General features: G+C 44.4%; 1 protein-coding gene and 1 pseudogene across 6 annotated transcripts in view, besides 2 other annotated features; one reads left to right on the top strand and one right to left on the bottom strand.

The window, feature by feature from the left end:
• ZNF528 (zinc finger protein 528) overlaps positions 1-6,849 on the top strand; it is a 20,553-nt gene extending 13,704 nt beyond the window's left edge. For 2 of the 6 annotated variants that reach the window (XM_006723418.3, XM_047439511.1), the window contains 3 exons: positions 2,666-2,816; positions 3,387-3,487; positions 3,572-6,849. In XM_006723418.3, coding sequence (XP_006723481.1) covers positions 2,666-2,816; positions 3,387-3,487; positions 3,572-5,187 — 1,868 coding nt within the window. In that variant the 3' untranslated portion in view covers positions 5,188-6,849. Of the gene's footprint in view, positions 1-2,193; positions 2,817-3,386; positions 3,488-3,571 lie in introns of all 6 variants that reach the window. The other 4 variants (XM_017027365.2, XM_011527394.3, XM_047439512.1 and 1 more) reach the window with 4 other exon arrangements.
• Positions 8,964-9,729: an enhancer, noted in NCBI's record as "NANOG-H3K27ac hESC enhancer chr19:52923769-52924534 (GRCh37/hg19 assembly coordinates)". NCBI's record gives its function as "activates a minimal SCP1, AML or CMV promoter by ChIP-STARR-seq in naive H9 embryonic stem cells {active_cell/tissue: H9 hESC(naive)}" and the evidence as "EXISTENCE:reporter gene assay evidence [ECO:0000049][PMID:30033119]".
• Positions 9,730-10,495: an enhancer, noted in NCBI's record as "NANOG-H3K27ac hESC enhancer chr19:52924535-52925300 (GRCh37/hg19 assembly coordinates)". NCBI's record gives its function as "activates a minimal SCP1, AML or CMV promoter by ChIP-STARR-seq in naive H9 embryonic stem cells {active_cell/tissue: H9 hESC(naive)}" and the evidence as "EXISTENCE:reporter gene assay evidence [ECO:0000049][PMID:30033119]".
• Positions 14,193-14,698, bottom strand: DPPA5P1 (developmental pluripotency associated 5 pseudogene 1; annotated as a pseudogene).

Genomic DNA, 17,379 nt, shown 5'->3' on the forward strand with positions numbered 1-17,379 from the left:
CTTTTACCAACAGATGAAGTTGATCTAGCTTCCCCTGTGTTAGGGGCCCACACAAGTTTCTCACTAAGCCATTCTAATGGTAAGGCAGTGGGCAGAGGAGAAATATGAATGACCCCCATCAGAAATCCTGACGTCCTAGCCCTTTTCTGTTTTTCCAGTTACTGAGAACGGGTTAGGGTTTCCTTGTAGGAATTTCCCTAAACCTTTTCTACTTTCATATCCCATGTCCTTCAACATTTCAAATCCTGGGTTACCAAAGTTTTCATTTGTAAGTCTCATATTTCATGCTGTAAGTCTCCACCCCATAAATTGATGGCTGTATTTACAACATAAGACTGGAAAGTACCTGACTGACCATCCAGACCAAGACAAGGTAAAATCTCAGCACTCTGTTGAACACTTTTAGCTGCTCCTACTCCCACTAGGGGTGTGGAGGTTAGTCTGAGAGTCGATGCTGGGGGCCAGTCTTTACTGGATATGACTGACACATCAGCTCCTGTGTCCATTCGCCCATAAAATTTCTTTCCTTTAATTAGTACTACACAGGTAGGTCTATTAGAGGCTATGGATTGGGATAGATAAGTTTCCTATGTAGTTGTGCTCCCAAACCCTTTATTTCCTCATTTCTCCTTTTATGAAGATGGGTGTAATTTGCAGGGAATAAGCAATAGCTAAGCAGTATATTCTCCTGGTTCAAAAACCCAAAGATCTTGTGACATTAAAACTACTTGAATTTCTCCTTCATAATCGGAGTCAGTCACTCCTGGGACTACAGTGATGCCTTGCAAGTTAAGGCGGCCTTTGCCTAAAATTAGTTCCATGTATCCTCTTGGTAAAGGTCCTCAAATGCCAGTGGGAATTTTGATAGGTTTGTCTCCACCAACTACTGTTATTTCTCTTGACTGGGAGATCTAATCCTGCACTTCCTGGTGTTCCTGGGGTGAGGGAATCAATGTTTCTCTTGGGACCCATCCCTGAAATGGGCTTGTGGTCTGGACTGAGAATGCCCTGATTGTTTGAGGGGCCCGGGTCCAGGCCACCTTCTCATTTCCCAGCAGGAGGGGTGCCATTCTGATGAAGTCTTGAGTGGCACTGATGAGCCCAGTGATTTCCTTTGTTACAGCGAGGACAGAGTGCTGGCGTTTTTCTGCTGGGTGTTGGGGGGGGGCACTGCATTGTGAAGTCCTTTCTGTCCTGAGATCTGGTGGCATTCCTTTTTAAAATGTCTGGTTTTACCGCAAGTACAACATTTTCCCAATTTAGCGTTTGACCCTTGGCTCCTTTTAGATTTGTCAACTACTAAATTAGCCATGCTTCAGCTATCATTGAAGAGCAATGAAGCTCAGTTCCTTCATCCTAACAAGCTCTGAGAAAATTTCCCAAGTCTTTTGTACACCTTACAGGTGCCAGTGCACATTTACAATCCACGTTTGCATTCTCAAAAGCTAAAGTTAAGGTTAGCATTTCTGTGGCAGTGGCATGAGGAATCTGACGCTTCACTGCCTCTTGTAATCTCGCAAGAAATTGTGCATAGGGCTCCTACAACCCTTGCATGATATGCAAAAAGGATTGTACTAGGACTCCCTCATCTGGAATTGTGGCCCAGGCGCATTTAGCAGCCTGTGAACGCTGCTGATAAGCAGCAGCTGGGGGTGCCATTTGATGTTCCAGGTCTGAATAAGGGTCATTACTCAATAGCATATCCTCTGTAATGTCTCCTTGACAAGCAGCACGATTCTGTCTAGCCTGGTTTGCACACAGTTCTTGCCAATTTAAATTCCGTGTCAGATACGCAGTAGCAGACAAGTTTGCGCCAAAAGTTTTACATCAAAGAGTAGAAGGCACGTAGCACCGAATACAGATTCTAGCAATCCTAAAGTGAATGGGCTCTGTACTCCATCGTTAACTACACTCGTTTGTAATTCCTTCAACAACTAAACTCTAGGGTATTTTCATGAATAAACTGATGTAGATTGTTTCGATCAGGCCTTATGGAAATAGGAAAAGCACAAGGTCCTAAGGGCTCTCCAGCTATGGCAGCAGAGTGTAACATTCTTTGTACTGGGGTCTCTATTTCTGCTACTGAAGGAGGTGGTACAGATGTTGCTGCAACTGGAGGGGGTGGTAAAAACCAATTTTTATCCTCCCTCTCCTGTTTTTTGTTTTCAATTGGATCTGTGGGTGGGACAACAGATTCTTTCAGATTTTTAGACTCAGCCTGCTGCCCAGCAGAATAATGAGATAATGGCAGAACAGTACGAACCAGACTCCACGTGAAGATAGAAGAATCAACTTTAAGACCTTTTTGATGAGCCTCTTTTAATCCTTTTCCTGCTGTGTCCCAATTTTCCACATCAAGAGTGCCTGCCTGTGGAAACCATGGGCCATGCATCATAATCTCCTGCAGAAGCTTAATGTCTGTGAATTAACCTGAGTTCCAGGCTGTCTCAATAGAACTTGAAACAACTGCACGTAGTGTTTTTTTCAACAGACAAGTTCTGCCCCACGTTACCCTGATTCAGAAAACTTCCCGTTCGCAGTACTTTAGAGCACCGACCTCATATCGCTCCCAGTACCTCTTCAGGGCACTGACCTTATATCCGCTGCCAGCCGACTCATCCAGGTTTCCCCATTCACCTTGTGAATTTCAGTTCCTCTACTCCAGCAGAACCTTCTTTGTTCACGTCCTCAAAGTCCTATGTTCGGAGGCCACTTGTCCGACATCCTCGGAGTCCCTCTTCTGGGTCACCAGTTGCCACCTGCACAGACCTTGGGGGACTGAACGAAGGGGGCGAACATTGGAATAAAAGACAAAGGTGTATATTTGGAAGAAGGGGTCAGGGGGCTCCTTCTAGTGAACAAGGGCCCTGAGCTTTAGAGCCCTTTGTATTTTATTGGGTAAAGGAGATGGTGGCAGGGGGAGGGGGTGGTTATTGGTCAGCGGCTTGATTTACAACAGGTTTGCAAGACTGCATTCTTTGAACAATAGACTGTAGATGTCCCAGTAGATAATTTCAATGAGCATGGCACCAGGGAGTGATTACCTTCAGCAAACCTTCTGGTGTCAGGCGCAGTCGTGAGTTTGCCCACATCCTGCATTCATGATAGTTTGTTGTTTGATCATAAAGCCTCCAGTGGAATGTTGAGCTGGTCACATCTCTTGGGCCTTCAGCTTCCTACATGTGGGAACACTCAGTCCTTTTCTGGGGATGTGTTTCTTCTGGCTTGTGGAAGTACCATTATTAATGTCTATACAGCTCTTCTTGGATTTCTGATTTTCCCTAAGAGGCTCATCCCTGCTTCTTCCCAGAAGTTTTCAGTCTCTGTTGTATTTCTCTGCTCATAGTCTGTTTCAGATTTACCCATAATTCTCTCGACTCCTGCAGATTCCCCACTGCTCCAATGCATCACCTCAGTTCCTTGTGTTTTCTGCACTGCCAGCATGATACACACAATACCCTGATACTCCTACCAATGTCTGAGTCAGGTGAGGCAGAATCTAGACCCTCTGTCAGACACTAAAGATGCCATTATCATGGGTTGAAGTTCCACTTTTTTCTTTCTGTTTTAGAGAGGAGCTCTAAATTGGGAAGTAATGCAGGAAACAAGCCTTGTAAAAATCAACTTGGATTCACTTTTCAGTTACATCTGAGTGATCTACAGCTATTTCAAGCTGAAAGGAAAATTTCTGGGTGTAAGCATTTTGAAAAACCCGTCAGTGACAATTCCTCAGTTTCACCGCTTGAAAAAATTTCTTCCAGTGTCAAATCCCACCTTTTAAATAAATATAGAAATAATTTTGATCATGCTCCATTACTTCCACAAGAACAGAAAGCACACATTAGGGAAAAAGCTTATAAATGTAATGAGCACGGCCAAGTCTTTAGAGCATCTGCAAGCCTTACTAACCAAGTAATCCATAACGCAGATAATCCTTACAAATGCAGTGAATGTGGCAAGGTCTTTAGTTGCAGTTCAAAGCTTGTGATACATCGAAGAATGCATACTGGAGAGAAGCCTTACAAATGTCATGAATGTGGCAAGCTCTTCAGTAGCAATTCAAACCTTTCACAACATCAAAGAATTCATACTGGAGAGAAGCCTTACAAATGTCATGAATGTGACAAGGTCTTTCGAAGCAGTTCAAAGCTTGCACAACATCAAAGAATTCATACTGGAGAGAAGCCTTACAAATGTCATGAATGTGACAAGGTCTTCAATCAAATTGCACACCTTGTACGACATCAAAAAATTCATACTGGAGAGAAACCTTACAGTTGTAATAAATGTGGCAAGGTCTTTAGTCGCCATTCATATCTAGCAGAACATCAAACGGTTCATACTGGTGAGAAACCTTACAAATGTGAAGAATGTGGCAAAGCATTTTCAGTGCGTTCCAGCCTCATAACCCATCAGTTAATTCACACTGGAAGGAAACCTTACAAATGTAAAGAATGTGACAAGGTCTTTGGGCGCAAGTGTTTCCTGACCTCTCATCAGAGAATTCATACTAGAGAGAGACCTTATGGATGCAGTCAGTGTGGCAAGATCTTTAGTCAGAAATCAGACCTTATACGACATCGAAAAACTCATACTGATGAGAAGCCTTACAAATGTAATAAATGTGGCACAGCGTTTAGAGAGTTTTCAGACCTTACTGCCCATTTTCTAATCCATAGTGGAGAGAAACCTTATGAATGTAAAGAATGTGGCAAAGTCTTCAGGTACAAGTCTTCTCTAACCAGTCATCATAGAATTCATACTGGAGAGAAGCCTTACAAATGTAACAGATGTGGCAAGGTCTTCAGTCGCAGTTCAAACCTGGTATGCCATCAGAAAATTCATACAGGAGAAAAGCCTTACAAATGTAATCAATGTGGCAAGGTCTTTAATCAAGCATCATACCTTACAAGACATCAAATAATTCATACTGGAGAGAGGCCTTACAGATGTAGTAAATGTGGCAAAGCATTTCGAGGGTGTTCAGGCCTTACTGCCCATCTTGCAATCCATACTGAAAAGAAATCTCATGAGTGTAAAGAATGTGGCAAGATCTTCACTCAGAAGTCTTCCCTCACCAATCACCATAGAATTCACATTGGAGAGAAACCTTACAAATGCACCCTGTGCAGTAAGGTCTTCAGTCACAATTCTGACCTTGCACAGCATCAGAGAGTTCATTCATGAGAGTCCCTACAAACTGTATGGCAAAACCATCATCATGAGTTCTAGCATTAATCAACATCAGTGAGTCCATACTAAGTGGAAATCATATAAATGAAATGTATGTGACACAGGCTTTATCAAGGCCTGCCAAATCACTGGACATCACCACATCACTGTGGAGGATGAAAGCACACAGATGAATTGTGTGTACTTGGGCTATTATTCAAGGACCATTGCTATAGAACACGATAGGATTTACACAAGAAGTAACTCTGTCTCTGGTTCTCTGATACTAATCTATGATATTGCATGATGCAGAATAATGCTAAGTCAAAATATGTTGAATCTCATGACCTGATGTATATCAAAGGTGCAACGGCTTGTAAATGACCAGTTTTATTCAGGCTATAAAGCATTCAATTATTTGGGGCTTATAGAAAAGGCTACTTTACTCTTTGTGACTTCGAAATCTTTTCATGTGCCTTCCATACAGGCCATTCACTGTGGTCCCTGGGAAAGAATCAGTAGGATGACAGGGCTGACTTCATTAGCTGAGGATTATTTCTATCCAATTTCCTGATGAAGGACATTGCCTTTTGAGATTAAATATTGTCTGATTTAGAGAGCATGGAGGTGGGCAGAGTAACATAAAACTGATGACCGTCATCATACTGTTGCAGTTAGCACACTTTCTCCTGACATAAGTGCACAGAGCTTCAGTGTCCACCAACTGACCATGAAATAGAGTATGCTGTAATCTTAAGGCATAGGTTATTAGTGGGAAGAGAGTAATAGGTTGCTAGTGTCTGATTATATGGTAGAAATAATGCAAGGAAAAAGGTAGCCACCTTCTCCATTGAACAGCAGTACCTGCTGTTTAGCAAAGACTGATGAGAAGTAGACTTTTTTTTTTTTGGAGATAGAGTCTCACTCTGTTGCCCAGGCTGGAGTGTAGTGGTGTGTTCTTGGCTCACTGCACCCTCCGCCTCCTGGGCTCAAGCAGTCCTTCTGCCTTAGCCTCCTAAGTAGCTGAGACTACAGACGTGCGCCACCACACCCAGTTCATTTTTGTATTTTTAGTAGAGACAGTGTTTACCATGTTGGCCAGGCAGGTCTCCAACTCCTGACCTCAAGTGATATGTTCACCTCAGCCTCCCAAAGTGCTGGGATTACAGGCATGAACCATGGTGCCCAGCCTCATTTTTGAAATGGAATAGAGAACAGTTATATCACAGTTGAGAGTTTAATCAAAATGACCGGATCAGCATATTCTTTTTTTAGATGAGACAGAGTTTCGCCCTTGTCACCCAGGCTGTAGTGCGGTGGCGCGATCTCGGCTCACTGCAACCTCCGCCTCCCGGGTTCAAGCAATTCTCCTGCCTCAGCCTCCCAAGTAGCTGGGATTACAGGCGTGTACCACCATACCCAGCTAATTTTTGTATTTTTAGTAGAGATGGGGTTTCACCACGTTGGCCACACTGGTCTCAAACTCCTGACCTCAGGCGATCCATCTGCCTCAGCCTGAAAGTGCTAGGATTACAGGCGTGAGCCACCACACCTGGCCAGCTCAGCATATTCTTAAGTAGGATTCACATTTAATTCTTGGTATTATAAGTTGCAACCATTTGATTTAGAATGTATGCAGCTCTCATGTTTGTAGTAATAAAGTTTCATTTTTCCTAAGTATGAATGAATCGTGTTTTCTACCGTCATAATTTCATCCCACCTCAGGAGGATGGATACTCTGTAGCACACAGTAATGCACCATTGGGATTTTAAGATTGGAGCATCCAGAGCAAGTTTTCTGGTTGTGAAATGAAACATGTCCTTTGGTTACATATCCTTAGGTAAGTGTGAATATGAGTAATCATACTTAGTACTTGAATTATTGTATCTGTGCTCTGCCCTAGAATGCTTCTGTGGGTACAGTGAAAGTCCCAAAGCAGTGCAACTCCAGCATCCTATACCCTCAAATGTGTTTATAGCCCTTGGCAAATGTTTAGTGTATCATTATATTTCTATGTGCCTTTTTCTTGTGTGCTAAATTAGACCCATGGCACACATTCTCTCTTTTTTTTTTTTTTTTTTTTTTTTTGAGAGTCTTGCTCTGTCACCCAGGCTGGAGTGCAATGGCGCGATCTTGACTCACTGCAACCTCCACCTCCTGGGTTCGAGCAATTCTTCTGCCTCAGCCTCCCGAGTAGCTGAGATTACAGGCATCTGCCACCAGTCCTGGCTAATTTTTTTGTATTTTTAGTAGAGACAGGGTTTCACCATGTTGGCCAGGCTGGTCTCAAACACCCAACCTCAGGCGATCCACCCACCTTGGCCTCCCAAAGTGCTGGGATTATAGGCTTGAGCCACTGTGCCTGGCCCACACTTTCATTTTTATGAAGCAAAAATACAAATATGACAAATATTATGAGATAAAAGTGTGAGGATAAGGTTAAAAATAGTGTAACACAATCTCTTTTTTTGTCCTTGTGCTCAGTGACATAATTTGAAATTACTAATGTTCATAAATTTCCTCGTAAGGGTGGACACACAGAATGGAATTGTGTTTTGCTTTGGTATTTTAACAAGGAACTTCACATATTTACCCCCACAACCTTTGTGGTAATTTGAACTTTTGCCTACTCCACTAGAACCTTACAAAAAAAGTTTTTTTTTTTTTAAATTTGAGACAGGGTCTTTGTTGCACAGGCTGGAGTGCAGTGGCACAGTTAGGGCTCACTGCAGCCTCAACCTCCCCGGCTCAAGTGATCCTCCCACTTTAGCCTCATGAATAGCTGTGACTACAGGCGCACACCACCACACCCAGCTAATTTTGGGGTGTTTTTTGGTCACAGTGTTGCCCAGCTGGTCTCCAACTCTTGGGCTCAAATGACCCACCCACCTCAGCTTCCCAAAGTGCTAGGATTACAGGCATGAGCCATGTACCTGGCCTCCACTAGAACTTGTTTGACGTCCACCTAAGATTTGGCTTGGGTATTGAGACTGATGATGCTATGTACTGAAGGGGTCTGAGAATGTTTATTACATAATAAGACTTTCTGAGGAAAGCAGGTTAGACTTCCCCAGTTGGTCCAAAAATGTCATGAGAAAACTGGGATAGATGACTACTTTGGGTGTTATGATTGTTGAAGCGTCGGGCTGGGGTGTGGGTACTTACTTGTGGTTTGAACTAATACCTGGTGCCAAATGAGGGAGCACTCAGGCTTTATTATCAGTTGACCAGATGGGCATCATAATGTAGTCTCAGCAATGCACCAAGATGTAACAGTCTCTCATTTGAGATAACACTTTGGGTTCTTTGTCCTACCTCCAAGAAAAGGAGTGTGGACATAAAAGTGAGTTTGGAGCGAAAGTTTAATAAGCAAGAGGAGAAAGCTGTCTGCCAGCAGAGAGGGGCTCCTGAACAGGAGTACTCACTATGAGGTCCGTATTGGGGTTTTTATGGACTGGAAAGGGGAAGGAATGTGCTTAGTCTGCGGGCTGTCTTGGAGAATGCATGCCTCAGCTTGGCCCGGGACCTATTAGAAGCTGAAGTGAAAGCTTGGCCCAGGACCAATTAGGGGCTGAAGTGATGATTCATAGAAGCCAGACTTACAGTCCAATAAAGGAACCTGAACTTATTGGAGCACCTGAACTTATTGGAGCCCACTGTGCCCATGTCCACAAAGGGAGAAGAAACTTTTGCCTGGGAGCCCACTGACTCTACAAAGGCAAAAGGCATTTCTGTGCCAGGCCTGCTCCCTTATCTGAGTGAGATGGAGGTCTGTGCAAGTTTTTATCCAAATGGGCCTTTTCCATCTGTGCAGCCGTAGGCATAACACCTTGTGCTAGTTCCCTTATCGGTCCCTGCACCTTGAATTTTTTCCCAGGCTGCTTTTTCTGTTAGGTGGGGATGAGGCACTGACCCATGGGCCAGGGACTCTCCAGAGACCCTTTTCTTGCTATCTACCTAAGGCAAGTTAACTACCTCCTTTCATAGGAAGAAGGAATGCAGAGGTGTAAAAGCTGTTAGTATTCAGACATCACAAAATGTAGTCTAACTCTTTAGTACAAGACTAAATACTTCTTCTTGAAACTCCTGACTTCTTGGTTAGGAAAAACCCCAGTTTTCTTCATGGTGATAGCTGGTTACATTCCTCTCGGATGGACGTGTAGGTTTCACTGCACCTATGATTGTTGAAAATGCTTGTGAATTACTGTTTAGTAAAGTGTCTAGTAAAGGTGAAGGGGTGGGTTGCCCCTCCACACCTGTGGGTGTTTCTTGTTAGGTGGAACGAGAGACTTGGAAAAGAAAAAGACACAGAGACAAAGTATAGAGAAAGAAATAAGGGGGCCCCAGGGGACCAGTGTTCACCATATGGAGGATCCCGCCAGCCTCTGAGTTCCCTTAGTATTTATTGATCATTTTTGGGTGTTTCTCAGAGAGGGGGATGTGGCAGGGTCATAGGATAATAGTGGAGAGAAGGTCAGCAGGTAAACACGTGAACAAAGGTCTCTGCATCATAGACAAGGTAAAGAATCAAGTGCTGTGCTTTAGATATGCATACACATAAACATCTCAATGCCTTACAGAGCAGTATTGCTGCCCGCATGTGCCACCTCCAGCCCTAAGGCGGTTTTCCCCTATCTCAGTAGATGGAATATACAATCGGGATTTATACCGAGACATTCCATTGCCCAGGGACGGGCGGGAGACAGATGCCTTCCTCTTGTCTCAACTGCAAAGAGGCATTCCTTCCTCTTTTACTAATCCTCCTCAGCACAGACCCTTTACGGGTGTCGGGCTGGGGGACGGTCAGGTCTTTCCCTTCCCACGAGGCCATATTTCAGACTATCACATGGGGAGAAACCTTGGACAATACCTGGCTTTCCTAGGCAGAGGTCCCTGCGGCCTTCCGCAGTGTTTGTGTCCCTGGGTACTTGAGATTAGGGAGTGGTGATGACTCTTAAGGAGCATGCTGCCTTCAAGCATCTGTTTAACAAAGCACATCTTGCACAGCCCTTAATCCATTTAACCCTGAGTGGACACAGCACATGTTTCAGAGAGCACGGGATTGGGGGTAAGGTCATAGATTAACAGCATCTCAAGGCAGAAGAATTTTTCTTAGTACAGAACAAAATGGAGTCTCCTGTGTCTACTTCTTTCTACACAGAAACAATCCGATCTCTCTTTCTTTTCCCCACAAAAGTTGCCTGAGATACGTTTTATCCTAGTTCAATGAAAATTATTGTACAAAAGTGTTTATTATAAAATCAACATGATTTGTTTATTGTTTATTGATTATATAATTATATTTATTATACAATAAATATGATTTTGCTAGAAGAGCATTTTGCCAAAAGTTGTGGAAATGTCATTGTCAGATTATGGTATGAAGCAATTTTTTCAGGCTGAGTGGGGGTGGCTCACCTGTAATCTCAGCACTTCGGGAGGCCAAGGTGGGAGAAATCACTTGAGCCCAGAAGTTCAAGACCAGCCTGGGCAACATAGCAAGAGCTTATGTCTACAAAAAAATTTTAAAAATAGCCGGGTGTGGTCATGTACACTTGTGGTCCCAACTACTTAGGGGCACTGCAGCAGGAGGATCGTTTGATGCCAGAAGGCTGAGGCTGCTGTCGTCCTTGATTGTACCACTGCACTCCGGCCTGGATGACAGAGGGAGACACTGTGTCAAAAAAAATTTACTTTGTGCTTCTTTATATGAGTTACATTAAAAATCTTTTATAAATTGCAGTCCAGGTTCCATGTCTAATACGTTTCTTCCATGTGTTACTTGAGTGAAAATTTACGGGCTACATAAATATGGCTGTTGTTTGGAAAGAAAATGTTGTGACATTAGTATGCGCACAAGACAATGGGAAGTACGAACTAGGATTCCTGTAAATACGAGAAAGGAAAAGAATGCTTTTACTATGTTAGAAGACTTAAAATCACATGAAGTGATTCCAGTCTTTCTGTTGTTATTCCGATGTTTTAGCTATTTTAGATTTTGGGGTTTGGCTTTTTTTTGTTTCATTGCCTTTCTACATAATTGGATAACCTTGTTAGTATCTGCAGAATGCCCTGATTAGGAAATGTGTTAACCCTATGTGTCAATTTGGTATAATTTCATATTGTTTTCATATTGTTTTATGTGGAGTCTTCCAATAAATGTATATTGTATATGTGTCTGTATTTGGTGTCTTTGATTTCTTTCATCAACATTTTGTAGTTTTAACATAATGGTTCTATGAATGTTTTGTTTGGCACGTATTTCTTTGACTTTTTTTTAAGACACAGTCTCACTCTGTTGCCCAGGCTGGAGTACAGTGGTGTGATCTCGGCTCACTGCAACCTCTGTCTCCTGAGTTCAAGCAATTCTCCTCCCTCAGCCTCCCAATTAGCTGGGATTACGGGCACGTGCCATCACTCCAGGCTAATTTTTGTATTTTTAGTAGACATGGGGTTTCACCATGTTGGCCAGGCTGGTCTCGAACTCCTGTCCTCAGGTGACCTGCCCGCCTTGGCCTCCCAAAGTGCTGGGATTACTGGCATGAGCCACCATGCCCAGCTGACCGATATTGTTAATGGAGCAATCATACATGGTATTTTATTTTTAATACCAGCTTTCATGTGTAAAGAAATATGCTAGATTATTATTATTATTATTATTATTTTGAAATAACGTCTTACTCTGTCACCCAGGTATAGTGCAGTGGAGCGATGTCAGCTAAGTGGAACCTCTGTCCTGCAGCTTTAAGTGACCCTCCCACCCCAGCTGCCTGAGTAGCTGAGACTGCAGGTGCGTGCCACCACGGCCAGCTAATTTTCGTGTTTTGTAGAGACAGGGTTTTGCCATGTTACCCATGCTGGTCTCAAACTCCTGAGCTCAAGCAATCCACCTGCCTTGGCCTTTCAAAGTGCTGGGATTACAGGGATGAGCTGCCATGCCTGGCCAGTGAAATATACAAGATTGCTGTATGTTGGCCAGCGCGGCGGCTCATGCCTGTAATCCCAGCACTTTGGGAGGCCAAGGCGGGTGGATCACAAGGCCAGGAGTTCGCGACCATCCTGGCTAACACGGTGAAACCCCGTCTCTACCATAAATACAAAAAGAAATTAGCCGGGCGTGGTGGCGGGCGCCTGTAGTCCCAGCTACTCTGGAGGCTGAGGCAGGAGAATGGCATGAGCCTGAGAGGCAGAGCTTGCAGTGAGCCGAGATCGTGCCACTGCACTCCAGCCTGGGCGACAGAGTGAGACTCCGTCTCAAAAAAAAAAAAAAAAGATTGCTGTATGTTGATCTTATACCTTGCCACCTTTACATTTCCCTTGTTTAGAGATTTTTGTAGATTTTTTGGAATTTTCTACATAAAATTATTTCACCAGATTCTTATTGCTACCACACAGTGATTGGCTTAAAACAAGAAAAATTTATTTTTTTACAATTCTGTAGGTCACATATCTAATATGGGTCCACAGTTCTATGATTCTTCATGAATCTCCAGGCAAGAATTTTTTTTCCTTACCCTTTGTAGGTTCCAGAGGCCACTTACATCCTTTGACTCATGGTCCACTTCCTCCATCTTTTTTCTGAGATGGAGTTTCGCTCTTGTGTCCCTGGATGGAGTGCAGTGGCACGATCTTGGCTCACCGCAACTTCCACCTCCCTGATTCAAGCGATTCTCTTGCCTCAGCCTCACAAGTAGCTGGGACTACAGGCGCGTGCCACCACACCGGGCTAATATTTTTATTATTTTTAGTAGAGACGGGGTTTCACCGTGTTAACCAGGATGGTCTTGATCTCTTGACGTCGTGATCTGCTCGCCTCGGCCTCCCAAAGTACTGGGATTGCAGTCATGAGCCACCACACCCGGCCCACTTCCTCCATCTTTACAGGCGAGATAAAATCTCTTTATCCCTCTATTTTCAACACATCACAACTGTCCGTCCCTCAGGGTCTACCTGCATCCTTCTGATATTGAACCTTGTGATTCTATCACTTTGACCATATAATTCAGGATAATGTCTATCTAAAGATCCTTAACTAGACCACATTTGCAAACTCCTCTTTGCCACAGCCAGTCACACAGGTTACAGGGTTGAGGATATGAGAACATATTCAGTAACACAGGTTACGGGGATGACCTGTGCAACCATCATATTTTCTGAGAGTACACTATTTTTTTTCTCCTGTCCTCAAGCCACTCTCCTTCCTCATTGCTACCACACGGTGATTGGCTTAAAAGAACAAAAATCTATTCTTTTACAATTCTGTAGGTCATGTATCTAATATGGGTCCACAGTTCTGTGATTCTTCATGAATCTCCGAAAGTGCTGCTATTACAGCCCTCAGATACCACATCCAGCCTGTCACTTTTATTTCCTTTTCTTCCTTTATTTCACTGGCTGGAACTTTTCACACTGTGTGGAATAGTAGTGATAAAAGTGGACTTCCTTGCCTCATCCCCTACCCCTGGGGGAATCTTTATGTCTTTCACCAGAATGTATGATGATCCTTTTTAAATTGGTGGGTGATCTTGAGTTGAGGAAGTGTCCAATGACACTGTTTTCCATACCATCTGCAGTCTTGTTTTTCTGAAAAATTACTTTTTTTATTGGCAACTGTCAAAAGAGATATTCTCAAGACTTGGAACAAGGGCAGAAACCCCTAGACAGATGGTTTTTTCTTTTCTTTTCTTTTTTTCTTTTTTGTTTTTTTGAGAGAGAGTCTCGCTCTTGTTGCTCAGGCTGGAGTGCAATGGTGCAGTCTTGGCTCACCGCAACCTCTGCCTCCCCGGTTCAAGCGATTCTCCTGCGTCAGCCTCCCAAGTAGCTGGGATTACAGGCATGTGCCACCACACCCAGCTAATTTTTTATTTTTAGTAGGCGGGGTTTCTCCATGTTGGTCAGGCTGCTCCCAAACTCCTGACCTCAGGTGATCCACCCACCTCAGCCTCCCAAAGTGCTGGATTACAGGCATGAGCCACTGCACCCGGCGTTTTTTTTTTTTTTTTTTTTTTTTGTTGTTGTTGTTTTTAATTCATCAGGCTGGAGCAGTGTTTAAACCAATCTGGAGTTACCATTCCAGCTATGGCCACAACCTGATCTCTACATCTTGGCCTTCTTCACATTGGCTGGAAGCTGGCTCACTTCACCCAAGGGCGTAGTTTGACGGCATTCATGCTTTCCACAAGTTTGAGCATCCCTCGCTCCTGGCACTGGCAGTGCCACTCAGCCATGGACTGGGGCATCCACTTGGTCTGGCACTTGTATAAATAGAAGCCGTAACCGACAACCTCGGTGAGGTCTGAAGACTCCAGAGCCTTCAGCACGAGCATGACCTTGCTCACCTGCTCGATGTAAGGGATTTGAGATCAGTCTGGGCCAAACATGGCTTCCAGCAGCTGCATCTGGACCTGGAGCACCTCTGGATCTTTCAGGAAGTTTCACCCATGGTGGGATATTTCTACATCTGGGATTGTTCCCAACTTGTAACCCTCACAACCAAAACTATGCTCCCGCATGAGCCGGGCCTAAGCGTTCATCAGTATTTTTGATTCCCACCAAATGTATGAAGATTACAATTTCTTCACAGCCTTACTTGTGAAGCAGGTTCACTGCACACTGGTTACCAACGTGTTGGAGTTGAGTGAGAGATAGTCCCATGAACACACAGTAAGTTACATGAAGTGAATTTGTTACAGATTGGCAGCAACGACAGCAGATGCCTGGGGTTCATGCATGCTGTTCCCGAAGGCTCAGGAAAACCACCCAGTTCAGATGCAGTCTGCGTGTGTGTTCCTCCCGCATCACAGCTGAGGGAGCCTGAAAGGCGGCCTGGCCCAGGTTTCATGCTCCAGGGATGCATGGCACGTTGGCCTAAAACAATGAAGGGCATCCTGTTCTGAGGGGACTGGAACAGATCCTGTCCTTCTCTGGTAAGGATGGACAGGATCCTGTCCTTCTCTGGTAAGGATGGACAGGATCCTGTCCTTCATCTCAGTATGTTGCTTTTCTAGCACATTTTATATTCATTCTTGGGAACTACAAGTGAGAAGTCAGACGCAACTGGGCCAGTTCAACCCCACTTGAGTGCTGTCTTGCAGTCTCCCCACCAACCCAGTATCCCCTTTAATAAAGCTAGTCAATTTATGTGTGCACTGACCTTCCTGGATCTGGAGGTAGAGGCTTGTCTCAGGAGATTGAAGTAATATCTTGACTGGCAGAATCTCAGCGCGACATCACTGAGGTACAGCCAGTTGCATTTCACTAGGCTCAAGAGGATTGCTGCCTCAAGCAGGATAACCAGGCCTGCCTGGAACAGTGCCATAGTCCGGGATCCCAGTGACCTGGGTGAGAAGTTGCTATTCAGGTCAAAGAAAATTTCTTCAGGTGACCCCACTGTCTCTAGCCAATAGTCCTGCTTGTGGATCTTACGTATTTGTGTTTCAAAACTACCTGAGGTCCTGATGTGGGGTCCTTACCTCCTGTGCACAGTGACTCATGCCTGTAATTTGAGTACTTTGGGAGTGTAGACAGAAGGAAAACTTGAGGCCAGAACTTGGACACCCGGCTGGGCAACAAAGTGAGACTCCATCTCTACAAAGTAATAATAATATATAAAACTAAAAAATTAGCACAGTCCAATGTCACAGGCCTGTACTTCCAGCTACTCGGGAGACTGAGGTAGGAGGTGCCCATGACCCCAGGAAGTCAAGGTTGTAGTGAGCTATGATTGTGCCACTGCACTCCAGCCTGGATGTCACAGGTTGATTCCCTGTCTTTAAAAAAAAAAAAAAAGTCTTAAACTAAATAATTTATACCTATTTTTAAAGTTATTGGCTTTTTTAAAAAGAGTTGGTGACCTGACTTCACACTGACCTTAGTCCTCTATGCCCAAGGTGGTGTCCCTAGGAAAGTTTCTGGAATTGAGCACAGGGTTGACCTCACCCTCTGGAGTGAATGGGGAATGTAAATGAAAAGTATTTCTAGCCGGGCGCGGTGGCTCACGCCTGTAATCCCAGCACTTAGGGAGGCTGAGGCGGGCGGATCATGAGGTCGGGAGATCGAGACTACGGTGAAACCCAGTCTCTACTAAAAATACAAAAAAAATTAGCCAGGCATGGTGGCGGGTGCCTGTAGTACCAGCTACTCGGGAGGCTGAGGCAGGAGAATGGTGTGAACCCGGGAGGCGAAGCTTGCGGTGAGCCGAGATTGTGCCACTGCACTCCAGCCTGGACGACAGAGCAAGACTCCATCTCAAAAAAAAAAAAAAAAGTATTTCTATTCTATGGGGCATTGGCATGATACTGCGCATTCCACTCTGGCAGGGTTTAGCATTTCACACTTTAGCTTCCATCCCCTTCACAGATAGTTCCAAAGTGTCTTAATTCCTAAAATTTGTCTTTCTGGCTGGGCATAGTGGCTCACGCCTGTAATCCCAACACTCTGGGAGGCCGAGGCGGGCAGATCACCTGAGGTCAGAAGTTCAAGACCAGCCTGGCCATGGTGAAACCCCGTCTCTACTAAAAATACAACAAATTAGTCGGGTGTGGTGGTGCGCACCTGTAATCCCAGCTACTCGGGAGGCTGAGGCAGGAGAATCACTTGAACCTGGGAGGCATAGGTTGCAGTGAGCCGAGATCTCATCATTGAGCTTCAGCCTGGGCAACGAGCGAAACTCTCAAACAAACAAACAAACAAAAAAAATGTCTTTCTTTCGTTCTTTCTTGTCTCTCCCTTTTTCTCACACACAGGCACAGACACCTACATTCTTTTCTTTGTTGCACTATTTCTCTCTAGTCTTATTTTCTTTCTTTCTTTTCTTTTTTTTTTTTTTTTTTGAGACGGAGTCTCACTCCATCGCCAGGCTGGAGTGTAGTGGTACGATTTCGGCTCACTGCAACCCTGCCTCCCGGGTTCAAGTGATTCTCCTGCCTCAGCCTCCCGAGTAGCTGGGACTACAGGCGCCCACCACCACACCCAGCTAATTTTTGTGTTTTTAGTAGAGACGGGGGTTTCATCATGTTGGCCAGGATGGTCTCGATCTCCTGACCTCGTGATCCGCCCGGCTTGGCCTCCCAAAGTGCTGGGATTACAGGAGTGAGCCACCGCACCCGGCCTTGTCTTTCTTTTTGCTTTCTTTTCACGCTCTCTTCTCTCTCTGCTTCCAGAGTAGTTGGGACTTAAAATTTATTGTAATAACAGGAATTCTCGTG

This window comes from Homo sapiens, chromosome 19 (assembly GCF_000001405.40).
Source record: "Homo sapiens chromosome 19, GRCh38.p14 Primary Assembly".
NCBI classification, from domain to species: Eukaryota; Metazoa; Chordata; class Mammalia; order Primates; family Hominidae; genus Homo; species Homo sapiens.